The sequence below is a fragment of the Homo sapiens genome, chromosome 17 (assembly GCF_000001405.40).
Source record: "Homo sapiens chromosome 17, GRCh38.p14 Primary Assembly".
NCBI lineage: Eukaryota > Metazoa > Chordata > Mammalia > Primates > Hominidae > Homo > Homo sapiens.
In genome coordinates this window covers 81,709,186-81,730,916 of record NC_000017.11, presented here as the reverse complement: position 1 = coordinate 81,730,916, position 21,731 = coordinate 81,709,186, and the positions used below count along the sequence as shown (strand labels likewise).

The 21,731-nt window shown below is 56.7% G+C and overlaps 1 protein-coding gene across 5 annotated transcripts, besides 9 other annotated features; it reads right to left on the bottom strand.

Moving 5' to 3' along the window:
• Positions 546-765: a silencer, noted in NCBI's record as "fragment chr17:79697182-79697401 (GRCh37/hg19 assembly coordinates)". NCBI's record gives its function as "represses an EF-1alpha promoter that drives an FKBP-Casp9 reporter gene in an ReSE screen in K562 erythroleukemia cells {active_cell/tissue: K562}" and the evidence as "EXISTENCE:reporter gene assay evidence [ECO:0000049][PMID:32094911]".
• Positions 7,909-8,450: an enhancer, noted in NCBI's record as "H3K4me1 hESC enhancer chr17:79689497-79690038 (GRCh37/hg19 assembly coordinates)". NCBI's record gives its function as "activates a minimal SCP1, AML or CMV promoter by ChIP-STARR-seq in primed H9 embryonic stem cells {active_cell/tissue: H9 hESC(primed)}" and the evidence as "EXISTENCE:reporter gene assay evidence [ECO:0000049][PMID:30033119]".
• SLC25A10 (solute carrier family 25 member 10) lies at positions 9,905-18,633 on the bottom strand. 5 transcript variants are annotated; one of them, NM_001270888.2, is made up of 11 exons: positions 18,398-18,633; positions 15,845-15,964; positions 15,325-15,439; positions 15,176-15,224; positions 14,867-14,908; positions 14,062-14,105; positions 13,845-13,915; positions 13,426-13,518; positions 13,056-13,160; positions 11,030-11,086; positions 9,905-10,941 (listed from the first exon to the last, which is right to left on the bottom strand). In NM_001270888.2, exons 1-11 carry the CDS (start codon positions 18,488-18,490, stop codon positions 10,840-10,842), a joined length of 891 nt encoding a protein of 296 aa, NP_001257817.1. In that variant the 5' UTR covers positions 18,491-18,633; the 3' UTR covers positions 9,905-10,839. The 5 variants fall into 5 exon arrangements, with proteins under 5 accessions (NP_001257817.1, NP_036272.2, NP_001257882.1 ...); NM_012140.5 differs by having other exon boundaries at positions 13,056-13,133; NM_001270953.2 differs by having other exon boundaries at positions 13,056-13,133; positions 13,426-13,435.
• Positions 18,142-18,191: a silencer, noted in NCBI's record as "silent region_9150". NCBI's record gives its function as "represses an Ori minimal core promoter by ATAC-STARR-seq in GM12878 lymphoblastoid cells {active_cell/tissue: GM12878}" and the evidence as "EXISTENCE:reporter gene assay evidence [ECO:0000049][PMID:35858748]".
• Positions 18,202-18,311: a silencer, noted in NCBI's record as "silent region_9149". NCBI's record gives its function as "represses an Ori minimal core promoter by ATAC-STARR-seq in GM12878 lymphoblastoid cells {active_cell/tissue: GM12878}" and the evidence as "EXISTENCE:reporter gene assay evidence [ECO:0000049][PMID:35858748]".
• Positions 18,322-18,991: a silencer, noted in NCBI's record as "silent region_9148". NCBI's record gives its function as "represses an Ori minimal core promoter by ATAC-STARR-seq in GM12878 lymphoblastoid cells {active_cell/tissue: GM12878}" and the evidence as "EXISTENCE:reporter gene assay evidence [ECO:0000049][PMID:35858748]".
• Positions 19,592-19,861: an enhancer, noted in NCBI's record as "active region_12978". NCBI's record gives its function as "activates an Ori minimal core promoter by ATAC-STARR-seq in GM12878 lymphoblastoid cells {active_cell/tissue: GM12878}" and the evidence as "EXISTENCE:reporter gene assay evidence [ECO:0000049][PMID:35858748]".
• Positions 20,036-20,736: an enhancer, noted in NCBI's record as "H3K4me1 hESC enhancer chr17:79677211-79677911 (GRCh37/hg19 assembly coordinates)". NCBI's record gives its function as "activates a minimal SCP1, AML or CMV promoter by ChIP-STARR-seq in primed H9 embryonic stem cells {active_cell/tissue: H9 hESC(primed)}" and the evidence as "EXISTENCE:reporter gene assay evidence [ECO:0000049][PMID:30033119]".
• Positions 20,064-20,358: a silencer, noted in NCBI's record as "tiled region #10385; K562 Repressive non-DNase unmatched - State 5:Enh". NCBI's record gives its function as "represses a minimal TATA promoter and a strong SV40 promoter by Sharpr-MPRA in K562 cells {active_cell/tissue: K562}" and the evidence as "EXISTENCE:reporter gene assay evidence [ECO:0000049][PMID:27701403]".
• Positions 20,064-20,358: an enhancer, noted in NCBI's record as "tiled region #10385; HepG2 Activating DNase matched - State 5:Enh". NCBI's record gives its function as "activates a minimal TATA promoter and a strong SV40 promoter by Sharpr-MPRA in HepG2 cells {active_cell/tissue: HepG2}" and the evidence as "EXISTENCE:reporter gene assay evidence [ECO:0000049][PMID:27701403]".

The window sequence follows — 21,731 nt, the reverse complement described above, 5'->3', positions numbered from 1 at the left end:
ACGATGCCCAGCTAATTTTTTTTTTTTTTTTTGAGATGGAGTTTCATCTTGTTGCCCAGGCTGGAGTGCAATGGCGTGATCTCGGCTCACTGCAACCTCCGCTTCCCAGGTTCAAGCGCTTCTGCCTCAGCCTCCTGAGTAGCTGGGATTACAGGTGTTAGTCACCACGTCCAGCTAATTTTTCTATTTCTAGTAGAGACGGGGTTTCACCATGTTCATCAGGCTGGTCTCAAACTACTGACCTCAGGTGATCCGCCTGCCTCGGCCTCCCAAAGTGCTGGGATTACAGGCATGAGCCACCACGCCTGGCAATTTTTGTATTTTTTAACGAGACAGGGTCTCCCTGTGTTGCCCAGGCTGGTCTTTAATTCCTGAGCTGAAAGTGATCCATCTGTCTAAGGCTCCCAAAGTGCTGGGATTACAGGTGTGAGCCAATGCGCCTGGCCGGACGTCTTCATTTATCTTGGGTCCTCACCTAGGAGTGGCATTGCTGGGTTGCACGGCCACTGTATGTTTAATTGTTTGAAGAACCACCAGCTGGGACGTCTTCTTTAAGCCCAAACCTGACCCACTGCTGCCCTGTCCAGGCCCCTCCCAGCTCTTCACTGCGTGACCCAGCTCTGCCAAGGACTCAGACGTGGCCCTGGCCGATACCTCCCACCATGGCTTCCATTGTGTATATTTGTTTATAGAGTCTTGTGCCATGCATATTTTTAAAAATATTATATAATCAAATGTGTATCTTTTCTATAATTCACGGGTTTTAAATTTTGCTATATCTTGTTAAGGGAATGCTCTTTATCAGATCAAGGAATTGTTCTTCTACTACTAGGTTGCAAAGCAATTTTTTTTTTTTTTGAGATGGAGTCTTGCTCTGTCACCCAGGCTGGGGTGCGGTGGCGCGATCTCAGCTTACTGCAAGCTCCGCCTCCCGGGTTCACGCCATTCTCCTGCTTCAGCCTCCCCAGCAGCTGGGATAATAGGCACACGCCGCCATGCCCAGCTATTTTTTTTTTTGTATTTTTAGTAGAGATGGGGTTTCACCGTGTTAGCCGGGATCGTCTCGATCTGACCTCATGATGTGCCCACCTCGGCCTCCCAAAGTGCTGAGATTACAGGCGTAAGCCACCGCGCCCGGCATTGCAAAGCAATTTTTAAAAATTGCAAATGAGGCCAGGCACGGTGGCTCACTCCTGTAACCCCAGCACTTTGGGAGGTTGAGATGGGTGGATCACGAGGTCAGGAGTTCGAGACCAGCCTGGCCAACATGGTGAATCCCCGTCTCTACTAAAAATACAAAAATTAGCCAGGCATGGTGGCGGTCACCTGTAATTCCAGCTATTCAGGAGGCTGAGGCAGGAGAATCACTTGAACTCAGAAGGTGGAGGTTGCAGTGAGCTGAGATCATGCCATCGCACTGCAGCCTGGGTGACATAGCGAGACTCTGTCCCCAAAAATATAAATAAATTAAATTTTTTTTTAATTAAAAAAATAAAAGTTGCAAATGAGTATTTTTCTTTTTTGAGACGGGGTTGCACTCTGTTGCCCAGGCTGGAGTCCAGGGCCACCATCACGGCTCACTGTAGCCTCAACCTCCTGGGCTCAAGCAATCCTCCCACCTCAGACCCCCAGTAGCTGGGACCACAGGTGTGCGCCCTGTGCACATATGCACCATGCTTGCCTAATATTTTCTTATTTTTTTAGATGGGGTTTTGCTACATTGCCCAGGCTGATCTTGAACTCTTGAGCCCAAGGGATCCACCTGCCTTGGTCTCCCAAAGTGCTGGGATTGCAGGCATGAGCCATGACCCCTGGCCCCTGCAAATCAGTATTGAATTGCACAAAATGCTGTTTCTGTAGCTGTTGAGATGCCTGCAGAAATTTTATTCTTTAATTTTTTTTTTTTTTTTTGACGGAGTCTCGCTTCGTGCCCAGGCTGGAATGCAATGGTGCGATCTTGGCTCACCGCAACCTCTACCTCCCAGGTTCAGGCGAGGGTCCCGCGTCAGCCTCCTGAGTAGCTGGGACTACAGGCACACTCCATGATGCCGGGCTAATTTTTGTATTTTTACTAGAGACGGGGTTTCACCATGTTGGCCAGGCTGGTCTTGAACTCCTGAGCTCAGGTGATCCGCCTGCCTCGGCCTCCCAAAGTGCTGGGATTACAGGCGTGAGCCACCACGCCCAGCCTCCTTTACTCTTAATGTAACATGCAGATAACATTAGTTAGTTTCCTGACATTGAAATTCTGATATAACCCCTACGTGATCATGAGGTCTGACATTTCTTATATGCAGCTGACTTCAATTTATTAATAGTTTATCTAGGCTTTCTACATCTACAGTCATGAAACAGATGTGTCTTAATTTTCATTTTGGAGTTGAGATCATGCTAGCCTTCTGTGAAAATTTCAAGACACGGATTTTTCTGTTCCATGAATGTTTGGTAAAAATTCACCCGTAAAACCAGCTAGAGCTGGCCAGGTGCGGTGGCTCACGCCTGTAATCCCAGCACTTCGGGAGGCCGAGGCAGGTGGATCACCGGGTCAGGAGATCGGAGACCATCCTGGCTAACACGGTGAAACCCCGTCTCTACTAAAAAATACAAAAAAATTAGCCGGGCGTGGTGGCGGGCGCCTGCAGTCCCAGATACTCAACTCAGGAGGCTGAGGCAGGAGGATGGTGTGAACCTGGGAGGCGGAGCTTGCAGTGAGCCGAGATCACACCGCTGCACTCCAGCCTGGGTGACACAGCGAGACTCCGTCTCAAAACAAACAAACAAGCAAAAAATGCTGGATACGGTGACTCATGCCTATAAATCCTAGCACTTTGGGAGGCGGAGGTGGGCAGATCACCTGAGGTTAAGAGTTCAAGACCAGCCTAGCCAACATGGCAAAACCCCATCTCTACTAAAAGTAAAAAAATTAGCCGTGGCAGGCACCTGTAATCCCAGCTATTCAGGAGGCCGAGGCAGAAGAATCGCTTGTACCCAGGAGGTAGAGGCTGCAGTGAGCCAAGATCAGGTCACTGCACTCCAGCCTGGGTGACAGCGTGAGACTCTGTCCCAAAAAAAAAAAAAAAAAAAAAAAAGAGCAGACACCCAAGGGTCAACAAACCCAGGAGCAAAACCAACACCACAAAACAGGCACACACAATACACCCAGGAGGTAAAACTCGGGCCCAAAGCCAGCAGAGCAAACATGAGAAGATACCAGGAAAAGTATAATGAACCCGGTCTCCAGAGAGGCGGCAGCACGTCACAGCCAATACACACCAAAGATCGGCTCTTTCTCCCTCTCCTCATTGTCTTCGCGTCGTCAGCTTCGGCCTGCGCTGACTTGCCTCATGGTCACAAGATGGCTGCCAGCAGCCTCCAAGGCCATTTGCTGCGTGGTCCACGCACGACAGGAGCAGAGCTTCCGCCGGTAGGGCCCGGAGTGTCGTCCTTGCCCAACCCACAAGCTGGCAGAGAAGTTTCCATCCCGGAAGCTACAATAAACATCTTACATATCATTGGCCCAGTGTGGGTGACAGGCCCATGCCTAAACCAGTCACTGTGGGCCATGCCGACTGGTTTAAACCAACCCTATTCATGCTGGGAGCTGGGGTCAGGCCCTGGTGCCCTTGAGGCCCAAGGACTGGGGTGGGGTGGTAGCTGCTTGAATAAAACAGCAGGCATTTTACTAAGGGGTGGGGGGCAGGATGTCAGATGACCTGAAGCATCACGTGACTATTTATTTTATTATTTTATTACTTTATTTATTTTTGAGACAGTTTAGCTCTGTAGCCCAGGCTGGAGTGCAGTGGTGCAATCTTGGCTCACTGCAATCTCTGCCTCCTGGGTTCAAGTGATTCTCCTGTCTCAGCCTCCCGAGTAGCTGGGACTACAGGTGCGCGCCACCATGCCCAGCTAATTTTTGATTTTTAGTAGAAACGGGGTTTCACCATGTTGGCCAGGCTGGTCTTGAACTCCTGACCTCAAGTGATCCACCTGCTTCGGCCTCCCAAAGTGCTGGGATTACAGGCGCGAGCCACTGCGTCCGGCCTGAATTGCCACATGAGTATTTATGCACACCCAAAACAAAATGACCCGGAAAGGTAGAACATAAGGCAGGTACGGTGATATTAACATCAGACAAAATAGAAGTGAAAACAACAATGATTACATAGGACCTAGAAGAATATTCCATCACTGAAAAAAAGAATGGTCTGCCAAACGTAACTGTGTGACCATCAGAAGTGTGTCCACAGAGGCTGGACTGCATCAGGGCTCCCAGGGCATCTCTCCTCACGTCTTGCCATCAGAACTGGGTCACATGGAGGCCGGGCACAGTGGCTCATGCCTGTAATCCCAGCACTTTGGGAGGTGGAGGTGGGTAGATCATTTGAGGCCAGGAGTTCAAGACCAGCCTGGCCAACCTGGTGAAATGCCATCTCTACTAAAAATATAAAATTAGCTGGGCATGGCGGCGCATGCCTATAATGCCAGCTACTTGGGAGGCTGAGGCGGGAGAATCACTTGAACCAGGAGGTGGAGGTTACAGTGAGCCAAGATGATGCCACTGCACTCCAGCCTGGGCGACAAGAGCGAAACTCCATCTCAAAAAAAAAAAAGAACTGGGTCACATGGTTTGCCACCACTCACCCGCCTCTCCCCTGTCTGGGCAGACTGGTGGGCTCTGTGCCACTAAGATGTTTACCTGAGACTAAAGCGGCAAGCGCAGACACGGAGCTGGATCACGTCAGGAAGGACTGTGAGGTGCACAGAGGATTGGACAGATCCAGAACCACAGGGAGAACCTTTCACACGCAATCTCAGAATTTACAAGGTTGGCTCAACATAACCAAGCAAGGACATAGAAGATTTAAACATTACGGCTGGGCATGGCAGCTCACACCTGTCATCCCAGCAGTCTGGGAGGCCAAGGCAGGCGGATCACTTGAGGTCAGGAGTTCGAGACCAGCCTGGCCAACATGGTGAAACCCCGTCTCTACTAAAAATACAAAAGTTAGCCAGGCGTGGTGGCAGGTGCCTGTAGTCCCAGCTACTCGGGACGCTGAGGCAGGAGAATTGCTTGAACCCAGGAGGCGGAGGTTGCAGTGAGCCTAGACCGAGCCATTGAACCCCAGCCTGGGCAATAAGAGCGAAACCTTGCCTCAAAAAAAAAAAAAAAAAAAAAAAAAGAAGATTTGCACATTACAATTAGCATGCCTAATCAAAAAGTCATGAATACCCAAATTAAGCTGTGTAACCAAGAGACAACACGTGTTCTTTTCAGACGTGCATGCAGCGGTTCACAAAAGTGTAGCGGGTACGAGACTGCAATAAAAATCTCCATAACTTCAGAAAACCAGCTGGGCCATGGCTCATGCCTGCTGTCCCAGGGCTATGGGAGGCCAAGGCCAGAGGATCGCTTCAGCCTAGAAGTTCAAGCTGCAGTGAGCTATTATTGTGCCATCTCACTCCAGCCTGGGTGACAAAGCGAGACCCCATCTCAAAAATAATAATAATTATTGTTATTTTTTGTTTTTTTTGAGATGGAGTTTCGCTGTGGTTCCCTAGGCTGGAGTGCGGTGGCACAATCTTGGCTCACTTCAACCTCCGCCTCCCAGGTTCAAGTGATTCTCCTGCCTTAGCCTCCCAAGTAGCTGGGATTACAGGCATGGGCCGCCACACCCGGCTAATTTTGTATTTTTAGTAGAGACGAGCTTTCTCCATGTTGGTGAGGCTGGTCTTGAACTTCTGACCTCAGATGATCGGCCCACCTCAGTCTCCCAAAGTGCTGGGATTACAGGAGTGAGCCACTGCCCTCGGCCACACACAAAAAAATATTTTTAAAGTATGAGCTTCAGGCTGGGCGTGGTGGCTCACACCTAAAATCTCAGCACTTTGGGAGGCCAAGGCAGGTGGATCACCTGAGGTCAGGAGTTCGAGACCAGCCTGGCCAACATGGCAAAACCCTGTCTCTACTAAAAATACAAAAATTAGCCGGGCATGGTGGCGCATGCCTGTAATGCCAGCTACTTGGGAGGCTGAGAAAAGAGAATCGCTTGAACCCGGGAGGCAGAGATTGCAGTGATCATACCTCCCGGGAGGCAGAGGTTGGAGATCGTACCACTGCACTCCAGCCTGGGCAAAAAGAGCAAAACTTCGTCTCAAAAAAAAAAAAAAAAAAAAAAAAAGAAAATATGGAGAGCCAAGTGATTGATGATAAGGCAGACGCTCAGGCCATAGTGGGGAGCAGAACCAGTGTTCCAGAAGCTTCCAGAAGCCACTGGTGCCACCTCCCAGTTACAGGTTTCCCAACCCACACCCTTCTGACTTTATGGGGACTGTTTCCCCTTTTTTGTTTTACCACCTCAGTATGTGCTCCTAAATGCTACATTTCTTTTCTTTTTTTTTTTTTTGGAGACGGAGTCTCGCACTGTCACCCAGGCTAAACTGCAGTGATGCGATCTCAGCTCACTGCAACCTCCACCTCCCGGGTTCAAGCGATTCTCCTGCCTCAACCTTAGCTGGGGTTACAGGTGCCTACTACCACACTCGGCTAATTTTTTGTATTTTTAGTAGAGACAAGGTTTCACCACGTTGGTCAGGCTGGTCTTGAACTTCTAACCTCAGTATTCTCCCGCTTCAGGCTCCCAAAATGCTGGGATTACAGGTGTGAGCCGCCGCACCCGGCCCTACATTTTCATTTTGCTTCTTTGTTTATTGAGACAGGGTCTCACTCTGTTGCCCAGGCTGGAGTGCAGTGGTACAATTTCAGCCCACTGCAGCCTCCACCTCCTGGGCTCAAGTGATCCTCCCACCTCAGCCTCCCGAACAGCTGGGACCACAGGCGTGCGCTACCACACCTGGCTAATACTTAAAAATTTTCGTAGAGATGGAGTTTCACTAACTTGCCCAGGCTAGTCTTGAACTACGGGGCTCAAGTGATCTTTCCACCTTAGACTCCTGGGTAGCTGGGACTACAGGCACGCACCACCACGCCCATCTCCATTTGTGTCCAAGTTTCTATAAATACATGTTTTCTTTCCTCCTGGGTACGTACAGAGGCGTGGAATTACTGGGTTAGATGGTAACTGTGTTTAACACTTTGAAGAACTGCCAGACTCTATTCCACAGCGGCCACACCACCCTCCATTCCCAGTAGCGCTGGATGGTTCTCATTTCTCCACAGCTTCACCAACACTTGCTCAGTTTCTGTCCTTTTGATTTTAGCCTAGTGGATGCTGCCGCATCTGTGGTGGTTTGGATTTGCATTTCCTTAACAACTGATAATGCCGAGTGGTGTCTCCTGTGTTTATTGGCCATTTGTATACCTTCTTTCCCATCCTGTGCCATTAACAACTTTCTTTCTTGTAAGAGTTTTCTTATATGTTCTAGACTGTAGTCCCTTATCTGATACGATTTACAGAGATTTCCTCCCATTATGCGGGCTGTCTCCCGCTTTCCTGATAGTGTCCTTTAAAGCACAGAAGTTTTTTTGTTGTTGTTGTTGAGACAGTTTTGCTCTTCTAGCTTAGGCTGGAGTGCAGTGGTGCAATCTTGGCTCACTGCAACCTCTGCCTCCCGGGTTCAAGCGATTCTCCTGCCTCAGCCTGCCGAGTAGCTGGGACTGGTGTGCTCCACCATGCCTCGGTAATTTTTTGGTATTTTTAGCAGAGATGGGGTTTCACCATGTTGGCCTGACCTCAGATGATCCACCCGCCTCGGCCTCCCAAAGTGCTGGGATTACAGGTGTGAGCCCCCACGCCAGGCGAATAGACTTTTCTTTCCCCACTGAATTGTCTTGGCATCCTTGTTGAAATTTCTTGACAATAAATGATTATTGTGTAACTTTTTGTAAACTATGAAGTCACTTAAAAAAATGCATGGAGGCTGGATGCGGCGGCTCATGCCTGTAATCCCAGAACTTTTGGGAGGCTGAAGGGGGTGGATCACTTGAGGTCAGGAGTTTGAGACCAGCCTGGCCAACATGGTGAAACCTCGTCTCTACTAAAAATACAAAAAGGAGCCAGGCTTGGTGATGTGCACCTGTAGTCCCAGCTACTCATGAGGCTGAGGCACGAAAATCGCTTGAACCTGGTAGGTGGAGGTTGCAGTGAGCTGAGACCTCACCACTGCACTCCAGCCTGGGTGACAGAGCAAAAATCCATCCAAAAGGAGAGAAAAAAAAAAAAAAAAAAAAAAGCACGGAAATGACTGCTGACTCAGCAGGTGACTGCTGAAATGCTGACTCAGCAGGGTCCAGATCTCTCCCTGGCCCCCAAGCGTGAAACTGACTGGCTTCTGGCCTTCGGACCAGGTGGCCTGCAGGGCCTGTGGGTTAAGGGCCATGAAACCACAGGACTGACATCCCCTCTGACCTACCCCCACCCTGGGCCTGTGCCCTGGACCTGGGGAGCTGTGGCTTCTGTGGAGGGTGGGTAAGGAGCCCTGCCCACTGGCCTCCTCTCCCACCCCACCCTCTGCACCCTGCCCTGTGGTGGCCCACTGCCAGGCCTGGCCCTGCCAAACCAGACTGGGCACTTTCATCCCCTGACTGGCACTGTCCCAGTGGGGCTGACTGCAGGGAGGGGCTGGGGGTGATGCCAGCCTCTGGGGTGGCCCCGGTGCCCTGTCATGATGGCCGCTTCCTCCAGGGCTCCCATCAAAGCAGCTCTGAGAATGTGGTCCCTCCATCTGCAGATTTTGGGATTTGCTGGCTAGAGCTGCCTTTCTGAACCACCTGGTTTCTCAGGAAGCAGCAGCCTTCCCCCTGAACCTACCCAGCCACTCCCTGGGTGTGAATTTCCAACCTGGGCACTGGGTACCATGTACAAACCTCAGAGCTCCCACTGGTCCCCAGTTCAAACAAAACCAGCTCTTCACAAAATGCACATGGCAGTCAGAGAAACTTGAGCACTGAATGGATATTCAAGGATATCAAAGATTTTTTTTTTTTCTGAGACAGGGTCTTGCTCTGTTCTCCAGGCTGGAGTGCAGTGGCGCAATCATGGCTCATCGTGGCCTAAATCTCCTGGGCTCAAGTGATCCTCCCACCTCAGCCTCCCAAGTAGCTGGGACTACAGGTGCATGCCATGACGCTCAGGTAATTTTTAAATTTTCTGTACAGATGGAGATCTCACCATATCGTCCAGGCTAGTCTCGAATTCCTGGGCTCAAGAGATCTTGCCTCAGCCTCCCACAGTGCTGGGATTACAAGTATGAGAGATCACACCCGGCCCACCATTACATTCTTTTTTTGAAATGGGGTCTCGCTCTGTCACCCAGGCTGGAGTGCAGTGGTGCGATCATAGCTCCCTGCAGCCTCGAACTTGCAGGCTTAAAGGATCCCACCGCAGCCTTCCAAGTAGCTGGGACTACAGGCTGTTTGCGCCACTGCACTCCAGCCTGAGTGACACAGTAAGACCCTGTCTTAAAAAAAAAAAAAAGGGCATCTTTGGGAGGCCAAAATGGGCAGATCCCCTGAGCTCAGAAGTTTGGGACCAGCCTGGGTAACATTGTGAGACCCCAACTCTACAAAAACATACAAAAATTAGCCAGGTATGATGGTGCACGCCCATAGCACCAGCTACTTGGAAGGCTGAGGTAGAAGACTGGTTTGAGCCCAGGAGGCCCAGGTTAGTAAGCCAAGATCGTGCCACTGCACTCCAGTCTGAATGACAGAGCCAGATCCTGTGTCTGAGACCCTCAACCCCAGCCTCACCGTCTTGTTCCCTTCCCCCCACACCGGTTTTGGTTCCTCCTACTTCCCCAATTCCTTCATCCAAATGCACAGCGAGGACCCTGGCTCCTCCCCAAAAGGCCTTGGCCCGGTCCTCCTTAGGGGGTGCAGGGGGTCCTGCTGGTCTGGACAGCAAGGCAGCCAGCGGGCAGGCAGCGCAGGCAGGAACAGATGTGGCAGCTCCCGGCATTTATTGATTGCAGCCCCCACAGAGCACACTGCCCTTCCCAGGTGGGGTGAAGCCCAGCGACCAGGGAGGCAGAGGATGCAGCATCCGCCCCGTCGGACTCCTTGTCGGGGAGAAGGCCCTAAGGAGGAACCGCGGCCCGCCTGGGCCATTCCCCCAGGGAGCCAAGCGGGGGGGCCCAGGTGCCCGAGGGACGCAGGCACAATCCCTGAAGACAGAGACCGCCTGCTGGTGAGTGGAGAGGCTTTGGCAAAACTAACTGTTAAAGCCACTGCAGGGCAGGCAGCGGTGCGCGGGACCTCGGTGGCCCTCGACCCTCACCCACAATGGCTCCAGAACCACCCTGGGCCACTCCCTCCCAGGCACTCGCTTGTGGTCTGCGTTGCTTGTTCATCCCACCCAGCTGCGGGGTCTCGCGGGGAGTTGCAGCTGCCCGAGGACATGGAAGGTCTGGTTGCTCTCAGCAGACACGAAGTGCAGAGCTAGCACTTGGGTGAGCAACAGCCAGGCTGCACCCACACTCTGCCACCCAAGTCCTCGATGGAAAGTGCTGGAAGATGCTGCTTTGGGCATCGGGGGCAGGAGGCAGGGATAATACCCCTCCCCTGGCCCAGGAGAGGGGAGAAATCAGCCTCTGGTAGCCCCTGTTCCCCTGAGGAGCTGCCAGCGGGAGAGGGGCAAGGCCACGCAGTGCCCAGCCGGGAGAGCCTGGTAGCCAGAGCGGGGGTGGTGCAGCTACAGCTGAGAGGGGACGAGGCCAGGAGGAGCTCAGCCAGCAGGTGGGGGGACAGCAGGGGCCTGCTGCGGAGGACGGGTGGCCACGGCCAGGGAGGTCGTGGCCCCAGGAGCAGGTGCTGGGCTTGGGACTCTTTGGAAGAACCTAGCGTGTCTGGCCTGGCAGCCCAGCCATTCCCACGGCTGGTCAGGATGGCACTTTGATGCCAAAGTTTTTGCGTAGCTGTTCCAGAAACACAAAAGTGAGCACGGTGTGGGGGATGAGGCGGATGCCAGCTGGGACGAGGCCCTGGAGGGAGACAGGGAAAATGAGAGACACAGAGCCCGAAGGGGCCCGCTCCCCATTGCCCAAGCCGCCACTGCCGCCACCACTGCACCTTGTAAAAGGCCAGAGGCCCGAGCTTCGCTGTCTCCACGGCGCAGTGGAAAACGCCCTGCAGAAAACGCAGTGAAACAATCAAAAAGGCTGCTTCTCACCCAAAAGGCAACGAAAATCCCCTCCCAGGCACCAGCCAGGCACGGTGGCCTGGGCATTCTCAATGTGGGGTGTGGGTGTGGGTGTGGGTGTGAGCGGCGGCTGCTGGCTGGTAACAGGTGACCACAGGTCTGCAGGCACCAGCCAGGTCAACGGCCACCCTGCCTGCTCATGCGGTACAACCAGGGCCCGAGGGTGCAGCCCGGGGTCCAGTGGGCAGAGGGGGCTGTGAACAGAACCATGAGAATCAGGGATGCAGCACGGCAGCGTCAGGGAGAAGAAAAGGGACAGAGCTATGGGCTCTGCAAACGTGGAAGCCCCATGGAGTTGGCGGGGGCCCAAGACAGGAGACCCAGAGCACCTATGAGGCACAGACTGCCATGAACGGCACCACCTCTGTTAATCTGTGAAAGAAATGTTTTTGGCCGGGCACAGTGACTCACACCTGTAATCCCAGCACTTTGGGAGGCTGAGGCGGCAGATCACTTCAGGCCAGGAGTTCAAGACCAGCCTGGCGAACATGGCGAAACCTTGTCTCTACTAAAAATACAAAAATTAGCCAGGAGTGGTGGCACGTGCCTGTAATCCCAGCACTTTGGGAGGCCGAGGCAAGCGGATCACCTGAGGTCAGGAGTTCAAGACCAGCCTGGCCGACATGGTGAAACCCTGTCTCTACTAAAAATATGAAAAATTAGCCGGGCATGGTGGCGGGCGCCTGTAATCCCAGCTACTTGGGAGGCTGAGGCAGGAGAATCGCTTGATCCCAGGAGGTGGAGGTTGCAATGAGGGGAAAAAAAAAAGAAAGAAAAGAAATGTGTTTTTTTTTGTTTTTTGTTTTTTTAAGACAGAGTCTCGCTCTGTCATCCAGGCTGGAGTGCAGTGGTGCAATCTCGGCTCACTGCAACCTCCGCCTCCTGAATTCAAGCAATTCTCCTGCCTCAGCCTCCTGAGTAGCTGGGATTACAGGCGTGCGCCACCAGGCCCAGCTAATTTTTTTGCATTTTTAGTAGAGACGGGGTTTCACCATGTTGGTCAGGCTGGTCTCCAACTCCTGACTTGTGATCTGCCCGCCTTGGCCTCCCAAAGTGTTGGGATTACAGGCGTGAGCCACCGTGCCTGGCCGAAAAGAAATGTTTTAAGACAGTCTCACTCTGTCACCCAGGCTGGAATGCAGTGGTGCAATCTCGGCTCACTGTGGCCTGGACATCCTGGGCTCAAGGGATTATCCCACCTCAGCCTCCTGTGTAGCTGGAACTACAGGCATGCACCACCAAGCCTGACCAATTTTGTTTTGTTTTGTTTTTTTGAGACAGTTTCACTCTTGTGGCCCAGGCTGGGGTGCAATGGTGTGATCTCGGCTCACTGCAACCTCCGCCTCCCAGGTTCAAGCGATTCTCCTGCCTCAGCCTCCCGAGTAGCTGGGATTACAGGCGCACGCCACCACACCCAGCCAATTTTTTGTATTTTTAGTAGAGAGGGGGTTTCACCATGTTGGCCAGGCTGGTCTTGAACTCCTGACCTCAGGTGATCTGCTTGCCTCGACCTCCCAAAGTGCTGGGATGATAGGCATGAGCCACCGCACCTGGCCCCTAATTTTTGTAATTTTGGTAGAGACAGGGTTTCAGTATGTTGCCCAGGCTGGTCTTGAACTCCTAGACTCAAGCAGTCTGCCTGCCTCAGGCTCCCAAAGTGCTGGGGTTACAGGCATGAGCCACTGCGCCGGGCCAAGAAGTCTTCTCTAAAAACAAAAACAAGGCAAAGGCATTCAAAGGCACAACCCTCTCCCAAGGCAAGTGCTGTGCAGAGACAGGCAACTAGAAGGGAGGGACACCCTTCCCCGGGTCCCCAGTGCGAGTGTCCACCCCCCGGAGAGGTGAGGGGACTCGCTGGGCTGTGCAGCCCAACTGCACAGGCAGGGCCCCACTCACCTGATACTCCCCCTTGGAGTTCATCAGGCGAGTCTTCAGCACATCCAGGGGCTGGCACAGGAACGTGGCACATCCACCCTGAGGAGGGGGCTCGTCACCAGCGGCCTGTCAGGTACGCCAGGCACCATCGCCGAATCCCACCCACGTGCCAGAACCTCCACCTGACTCCTAGGGCGGGCCAGGAACATGCTGGCGGGGGCACCAGGCTGACCCATGAGCTCCCAAAGCCCTGGCACCCCACTTATGAGCCCCAGGGGGCACTGCCAGATGCCCAAGGCCCCCGCCTCCCCCAGCCCTCGCCCCATCCTGGGTGCCCTCAGCGCCCAAGGCCGGCCCAGGGACGCCCACCCTAGCCATGCCGGCCACTTACTGCAATAAAGCTGGCGACAAAGTGAGTGAAGATGTTGTCAGAGAGGTACCCGGTGCTAAGGACCAGCTGCTTGGCCTGGTCGTAGCAGGACAGCTGCAGGGGCACAAGGGCGGTCAGGGCTGTAGGGGGGACCCCAGCTTGGGGAAAGCACACAGGGCCCCAGGCGACACCACCTGGCAATGGCCAAGCACCTGCTCCGTCTGTCCGTCCGTGAGGCCCAGACAGGGGAGGCACCTGCCCGAGGTCCTTCACAGGCTGCAGCCCTGACCCACCCGTGCCCCCCACCCTGCCCCACAAGGTCACAGCTGGTGGCTCCCCAGGAGGGTTTTGGCGCCCAGTGCCTTGTTCTATGGCCCCTCTGAAGATGGAGGTCAGTGGTCACAGGCACTGCCCACACCCACCCCACGCAGGAGGCCTACCTGGCCCACAGTGACTAAGGCCCCTCGGCTGGATGCCATGGTTGCACCCGAGAACAGTCTCCTGAGACCCTCTGCACAAGGAAGGGGTGAGGCAAGGGGTGAGGCAAGGGGTGAGGCCAGGCACCTGGCCCAAATCCCTCAGCGCCCAGTCTTCTACAGCGCTGCCCACCCTGCCTGCCCCCCAGAACCCTGCCTGTGCACAGCACCTGCCCCTCACCTTCACGAGCTACGCGGTACAGGCCATCCAGCGCATGGGCGTAGCTGCCGGGGACACAGAATGACCACATGAGACTCCCCCTGACCACCGGCTCCCACAGAGGGTCCTCCCAGGCCCCGAGGCAGGCCGGGGGTTCTCGAGGAAGCAGAGGCCTCATGGGCCTGAAGATCTCTCCCTGGGAACATGAAGCTGGTCCTGACGTCCCACAGCCACCTCGCCCGCCCCGCCCGGCCCTCAGGGAGGAGGTTCCATCGTTTCCAACAGAGTCCCTGGCTGGGCACCGCTCCTAGCATGCAGGCCTCCTGCCCGCCAGCCCCCGGGGTCCTGGGGGAACACAGTCTGTGTGCACAGCTAGAAGCCAGAACTCCCCAGGGGTCCTTGGAAGGGGCGGGGGAAGTGGCTCACACTGCAGTTGGAGCGGACCCCGGGCCCTGGAAAGACCCCAGGCCGTGGCAGGAGGGCACAGCTGCCCTGAGCTGGGCAGGGAGGCAGCGCCTCCTTCGGGCGTTTCTGTTGCATGCGCTCTCTCCATGCCTGGGGCGTTCGCCTCCGCACTCACCACCCTGGGGTGCAAACAGGCCCAGCCCCCAATCCAACAAGGCTCTCCCCACAGGAAGAACCCAAAGGTCCTGGGGGCGCAGAGTGACACCCCCGAGTCCAGAACAGCCGTCAGGACCCTCCATGGACCGTGCAGGCACCTCGGCCTGCTGGAGCCTCAGCTGGGTCACGGCAGAGCAGCCAGGGGTCCGCTCCCGCCCGAGCCTCCTGCACCTCAACCACCCCGAGAAGGCCGCCCATGACTCACTTGCGCCGCTGACCCTGGGGCAGCTTCACGTCGTTCTGCATCCTGAAACAGAAGCAGGTGGCGGGAGGGGCGGGCGGGCCGAGGGGCATGGGCAGCCCTGGCAGCACAGGGGAGCTCACGCTGGTCAGCGGGGCCCACAGGACAGGGCACGCCGGGGCTCAGGGACACCCACCCTCCTATGCCCAGGACACCAGGGTCTCAGTGGCTTATTCCAGGCTGACCCCACCCTGCAAGCAGCCCTGGCAGGCCCTGGCATGTCTGGGGACAAGAAAGCCCCTGGCCTTGCAGGTGGGGTGGGGGAACACCAACCTGACGTTGACCAAGTCTGCGGGCGTCCCCACGAAGCCTCCAGCTAAACCTGCGGTGACACAAACCCCAGAGATGAGCCGTGCTGACACACGGCGTCCTCGGCCGACCTGACCACCCCGCGCCCCTCCCCCTCCCGCCCGGCAGCTCACCGCTGACGGAGCCCAGCAACACCTTCTCGTGGAAGGGGAGAGGCCCCTGGCTGCCCTTGGCCACACGGTCCCGCACAGTCTCGTAGATGGCGAACCGAGTCAGGGAGTAGGTCATCTGGGGGAGAAGGGCCTGGCTTGGAGGGACGGGCACGCCCCACACCCCTCAGCCTCGCCACCCGGCCCAGCCAGGGATCCCCCTCAGCCCGAGGGGCCACAGGGACCCTGAGGGGCCTTCCCAAGGCCACTGTGCCAGCATGCGGCTGAGCCAGTTCACAAATCTAGAGCTGCACCCTGCTTTCTCACTCCCTGGGCCTCAGCTTCCCCACCAGTAAGTGGCGGTCTCAGGCCCAGCCCTGCAAACTGGGTGGGTGCCCATGGGAGGCGCACCCTGGGGTCACCAGCTCTCGGCCTGGTGGGTCCTTCCTTGCACAAAGTCTTGAAAAGGGGACGGAAGTAGCTTGGATGCCACTGCAGGACTCAGCCCCAGTCTGGGAGCCCAAGGCTGGCACACACCACGCACCTGTCTGCACAGCGAGGCGCTCAGGCCGCTGTAGAGTGCCAGGATGCCGTCGGTACGCACCACCCGCAGCGCCATGCCCGTCATGCGCAGCTTCACCTCCTGCTGCGTCTGCAGATGCACCTGCGGGAGTGAGTGCTCTCAGACCCCACAGCGACCCCGAGGGATCGGTGCCAGGTTCATCCAGAGAGGGGGAAACTGAGGCAGGAGGCAGTGATAAGGCCTCCCACGGCCCTGCCCGGGGACTCCACACCCGTGCCTGGAACCAGCTCACACCACTGCTTTCCAACAGCAACCACACCAGTGGACATGGAGCTGAGAGTGTCCGCGAGCCCCGCGAGCGCCCCGCGTACCACCTGAGTATTGGCTGCACTGGCCGCAGGGGCTCGCCATTCTCCTTCTGCAGATGAGGAAACTGAGGCATGGAGAGGTAACGCACCCGCTGGTGCCATCAGGATTTGGGCCCAGCGAGGAGACCCCAGAGCCCTACTTTTTATCCACCACACCACGTCTCAAGAGGGACAAACGTTTATGGCCGCTCAGAAACGGCGAGGGAGCCTGCAGGACCATGGGAGACTGAGGAGGTAGCCATAGAAGGCCTTGAAAGGCAGCAGGAGCTCAGCAGCAGACAAGGGGACGGTGTGGCTGGCGGCAGGGCATAGCGGCCTCCTCTGCAAAGCACCTAGGAGCTGTGGGCAGGCACTCGGGGGCTGTCAGCCCGACAACCTCCCATTCTGTTGGCCTCCACCACTCACAGGACCTCTGCCTCCTCGCCTGGCCAGCTGAGAGCTCCCGGCAGTAGGGGGATTGGCCAGGGCCAGACAGGAAGGCCAGCACCTGGCCCAGGATCCCAGCTCCTGGGTCCCACCCCCAGCACTGACCCCAAAGAAGTCCTTCCGCCGCTCAGTGTGACCTGCACGTGCGCGGCCCCGTAACGCACGCCCAGGGGTCGGCAAAGATGGGTGGGGACAGAGAGGGGCCTCCCATTGTGCGAGCCCAGCAGAACAGAGGGACTGGGCCACACAGGTAGCAGCCCCCGTCCCGGCCAGATGCGACGGTAGGGACTGTAGGGACATGGGACAAAGTGCTCAAGAAGCTTTAAAAGATCTTTCCGACGGCCAGGCAGAGAGGCCTGGTGAGCAGTCCTCAGGAGCACACCCTGACCACAGCGCCATATGCTGCCAGCAGCTGGCTCCTCCCGCCCTCCCAGGCCAGAGGGCAGTCCCGCCTCCCCCAGGCGGTGTTCTGCAGCCAGAGAGCGCCTGGTTGGGGAGGGCCAAGGGGCAGTGGGGCTCAGACCCCGGACAAGGGACAGCAGCACGCAGGTCCCGCCTTCAACACCCAGATGAACGTGGGAGAGGCCCTGGGGGAGGGGCACCTGTGCGGCGCCCAGGAGGAAAGGAAGAGCCCGATGCCAAGGAGGGGCTCGCTTCTTCTGCCCATGCCAGCGCCTTCCTGTCGCTGTGGCTGCATCTCACTGGCCGTGGCTGCCTGTGGCCTGGGAGCTCTGAAGGCCTCTCCCAGGACCAGTGAGGTCTCAGGTGCCCCAAGACGCCCACATCTGCTCACCTGGCCTTCACGCAGCGACCAGCATTGTTGCTCATTAGTAAAGCCAGTCCCCTCAAAGGCTGCTGGAATACAAGTCCCCTGGACAGGCTGCTAAAATAAAGGTCCCCTAGACAGGCGGCTGCCCAGTGACCACAGCCAGGTTCACAGGGCAGGGCCTGCTGGGCAGACTGTGCAAAGCCTCAGGCCCTTTCTTCTTTGTTCTCTGTGGCAAGACACGGTCAGAAAACAACGCCCCTTGGCTGTCCCTGGGAAACAAGGAGAGCTCTGTCTTATTTTGCCCCATAAGCATTAAAAAAAAAAAAAAAGTAAAAAAACGGTGGCTGCTTCTCGTGCTGAGAAACGCCCGCTTTCATAGGGCCAGGACCACACGCGTGCAGGGTCTCCTGGCATCTCTCCTGGGGGTGTGCTGGTCCTAACATCGCTTCCAGTGCCCACGCAGCTCTCCGAAGGAAGCAGCCCAAAGCCGGGGCATCGGGTCACCCCACTTGCCCAGGGACACGTCCGGCGGTGTGCTAAACACCCCTGGGTGGGGGGCGGCTTGGCCCACACCCTGGGTATGCTACAGCCAGCACGTCTCTAGATGCCAACACCTGTGCACCTCACAGAACTCCCCCCACAACTTCTAACTAGGCGGAAGGAGCGTTCTTGAATGTATGGGGGTGGGTGGCTCAGAGAGGCCAAGTGACTCCCCCAAGGTCACCAGGTATTAAAGTGTAGAGCTGGGGCTGGATCGCCACCTGCCGAGAACTGGGAAGCCGGCTGGGAAGCTGGGGAGCGCGGCTGCGCCCTGCAGGCCTCGAGCTCGGCGGCCACCACTGGAGGGCCACCCGGGATCGGCCATCCGGGCGTCGGGGGCCTCCTCGCGCTCTCCAGGAGGGAGCCCCGGGCGCGGCGATCCCCGGGTGCGTGGGGCCGGGCTGCTGCCTTTGCAGGCGTCTCGGCGGCGCCAGGGTCCCATCCGCCCCGCGTCCCGGGCCCCGGCCTCACCTTGAGCAGGTCCAGCGGGTGCGTGCAGCAGGCGGCCCCGCAGGAGGCCAGCCCCCCGAAGTACCAGCGCGACACGCGCGCCTCGGCTGCCATGGCCCAGGAGAGCCCAATCCCGGCCCGACCACAACCCGACCCCGGCCCTACCCCGGCGTGTACCGGCCGCAGCGCCCCGCGCCCCGCGCCCCGCGCCCGGTTCAAAGCGCCGCCCGCGCGCCCGCACCCCGCACAGCCAATGCGCGCGCGCGCCCCGGGGGCGGGACCGCTAGGCCACGCCCCCTGCGATTGAGGCGGGCCCGGCGCCTTAAAGCGGCCGCGAGGGGCGCCGAGCGCGGTGGGCCCGGCCTGCGGACGCGCGGGTGCTCCGGGGCTGCTGCGTGGCCGCCTCCACTCCCCCGGGCCCCTGGCGTCCTCCCTTCTCCAGGCCGGAGCGCAGGGCCGAAGGCCACCGCCCGGGGACCGGCCCCAGGCACATGGGACCGCGGCGGGCGCCCTGCCAATCCCCAGGAGGCCCGGCCCCTGGCCCTGAACCTGCACCCGGTGGCCACCCCGCCGCGCAGGCGCTGGCTCGTGAGTCACCTGGCGGGGGCCACGTGTGTGCGGCGTGGGCCCTGCGTCCACAGGTCTGCAACCCCTGCCCCCACCGAGGGCTCAGCCCCGGCCCAGCTGCAAGAGAACAGAAAACCGGCTTCGGGAGCCGGGCGCGGTGGCTCACGCCTGTAATCCCAGTTACTCAGGAAGCTGAGGCAGTAGAATCGCTTGAATCCGGGAGGCAGAGGTTGCAGTGAGCTGAGATCGCGCCACTGCACTCCAGCCTGGGCGACAGAGCGAGACTCCATCTCAAAAAAAAAAAAAAAAAAAAGAAAAAGAAAAGAAAAAAAGAACCTGCTTGGGGCCAGACTGAATGAAAACTGGGAAAAAAGGCGGTTAGGAAGGACTTGCCTCTCCCTTCCCACACACAGATGCCCGGAAGCTCCTGCTCAGTTCTGGTCTGGCTCTGACCAGACGCCCCAGGCAACCACCCTGGAAGTGGGGCCCCGGGGTGGATTCTGGGGCTCTTGTTCCCAGGAGATGCCTGCCTGCATCTGGGCCCCTGCTTGGATTCCACTTCCCTGCGAAGAACAAGGAGGCGCTGGTGTGTTCCTGGCCCAGGTGCACCTGCTGGGCAAAATGAAATTTAAGTCCCCAAGGCTGCTTTAGGGCTGGGCCACAGGGATGAAGACCTGCAGCTCCAGCTTGGTCACTGCTGTCCGGCCTCCCCCACCCTCCAGGGCGAAGGGTGAGGAGCACCGGAAAAACAACTCGTGGTCCCTGGAACCCCTCAAGCACCAGAATGTGTCCAGCCCTGCCTCTGCGCATCCAGCGATGCCCTGGCTGTGTCGGAAGCGCAAGACGCACACTTAGGATTTTCAGCTTGGCTGTGGGTTTATTGGGCCGTAACCCCAACGTAGGCAGGTAGCCAACTGGAGGAGACTGTTTTCTAGACCCTTAGGTGGCCTCTGACCCCAGAAGTCATCAGCGGAAGATTTGGGCTGGGGAGTGAGCAGCTAACCAGAGGCGGTACCCCTGCCCGGAAGTGTGTCCTGGACCTTGGTTTGGTTGGGTCCCTCAGGTGTTGCCCACACAGACCGTAACTACCTGGCAATCGAGAAGGGTGCCAGATGGACACTGGGGGTGAAAACACAGCCACGCCTGGTGGGGAAGCGGGTGGAGGTGCTCAGGAGGCAACCAGGAGAGTGCAGTGCAGCACTGCCCGCACCAAGCCTGGGCTGGGGCTCAACAGGAAGCGTGGAGATGGCGCAAATGCACCGCAGGGACTCAGAGGGATCACGCTGGGCTTAAAAGGCCCAGAGCAAACAGACTCAACCGTTAGGAAGCAGGGGAAGTGGCCCGATCTTAACGGAAATTTCCCAGCAAGAGGACAGGCTTCCTTGTCCGGGGCCATCCAGGCTCACACCTGACTGAGTCCCGCAGACTTGGCTGTGCCCACAGCGCCTGTCTCACTCAGTGTAAACCGAGATGAGTTGCATCCATCGGCTCCCGATTACCAAGAATCAAGAGGCGATGGATGGAAACCTTGGGGGAAGCAGGGCCTGGAGGGCCAGTGTCCCCTGAGTCTGTGAGACACTCCAGGAAGGAGGGGGGCGGGCCTGGGCTGCAACCTGTCCCTCCGAAGGCCACCTGCAAGACAGGGCTGAAACTGGCTGCTGGCAGAGACCCCCCAACCCACAGAACACTGGCTCCCTGCTGAAGGAAGAACTGCTCCAAAGCAGAAAGAGCAGGGCCCAGCGGGTAAGGAGCAGGAACTGAAGAGCTTTACAAAGAACAAAAAAGGCTGGGCAGGGCAGCTCTCACCTGTAATCCCAGCACTTTGGGAGGCCAAGGTAGGAGGATCTCTTGAGGCCAGGCGTTTCAGACCAGCCTGCGCAACACAGTGAGACCACATCTCTAAAAAAAATCAAAAGATTAGCCAGGCATGATGGCACGTGCCTATAGTCCCAGCTACCTGGGAGGATGAGGTAGGACGATTGCTTGTGCACAGGAGGCTGAGGCTGCAGTGAGCCTTGATCAGGCCACTGCACTCCAGCTCGGGTGACAGAGTGAGATCGTGTCTATATTAAAAAATAAAAATAGGCCAGGTGTGGTGGCTCACACCTGTAATCCCAGCACTTTGGGAGGCCGAGGTGGGTGATCACCTGGGGTTAGGAATTCGAGACCATCCTGGCCAACGTGGTGAAACGCTGCCTCTACTAAAAATACAAAAATTAGCTGGGTGTTGTGGCGGGCGCCTGTAATCCCAGCTACTAGGGAGGCTAAGGCAGGAGAATCGCTTGAACCTGGGAGGTGGAGGTTGCAGTGAGCCAAGATCGTGCCATTGCACTCCAGCCTGGGTGACAAGAGCAAAACTCACTCAAAAAAAATTAAAATTAAAAAAGATAAAAATAAGGTTCAAGACCAGCCTGGCCAACAGGGTGAAACCCTATCTCTACTAATAAAAATACAAAATTAGCTGGGCGTGGTGGTGCATGCCTGTAATTCCAGCTTCTTGGGAAGGTGAGGCAGGACAATTGCTTGAACCCGGCAGGTGGAGGCTGCAGTGAGCCAAGACTGCACCACCAGCCCAGGTGACAAACTGACACCGTTTCATAAAAATAAATACATAAATAAGTAAATAAAACATTAAAAAAAATAGAACAAAAGTGCAAGGAGCTGTAGGGGACTGAAGTTTGTGAACTCCGTGAGCTAGAGATGCTGGGAGAGCAGTCAGAAGGCGAGGAATCCTGAAAACAGGAAATGCATCCAGGGCCAGAGGCTTTTTCAAATGATGAATCTAGAA

Bases quoted from the DNA above. Each gene is read 5' to 3' on its own strand.
- SLC25A10 (NM_001270953.2), bottom strand. From the start codon at position 18,490: ATGGCAGCCGAGGCGCGCGTGTCGCGCTGGTACTTCGGGGGGCTGGCC. The intron at 15,440-15,844 runs GTGCGTGGTGTG...CTTCTCCCCCAG, and splicing joins GCGCCTCGCTGTGCAGACAG to ATGACCTACTCCCTGACTCG. The intron at 13,916-14,061 runs GTGAGGGGCAGG...TTCCTTGTGCAG, and splicing joins GTACCGCGTAGCTCGTGAAG to AGGGTCTCAGGAGACTGTTC.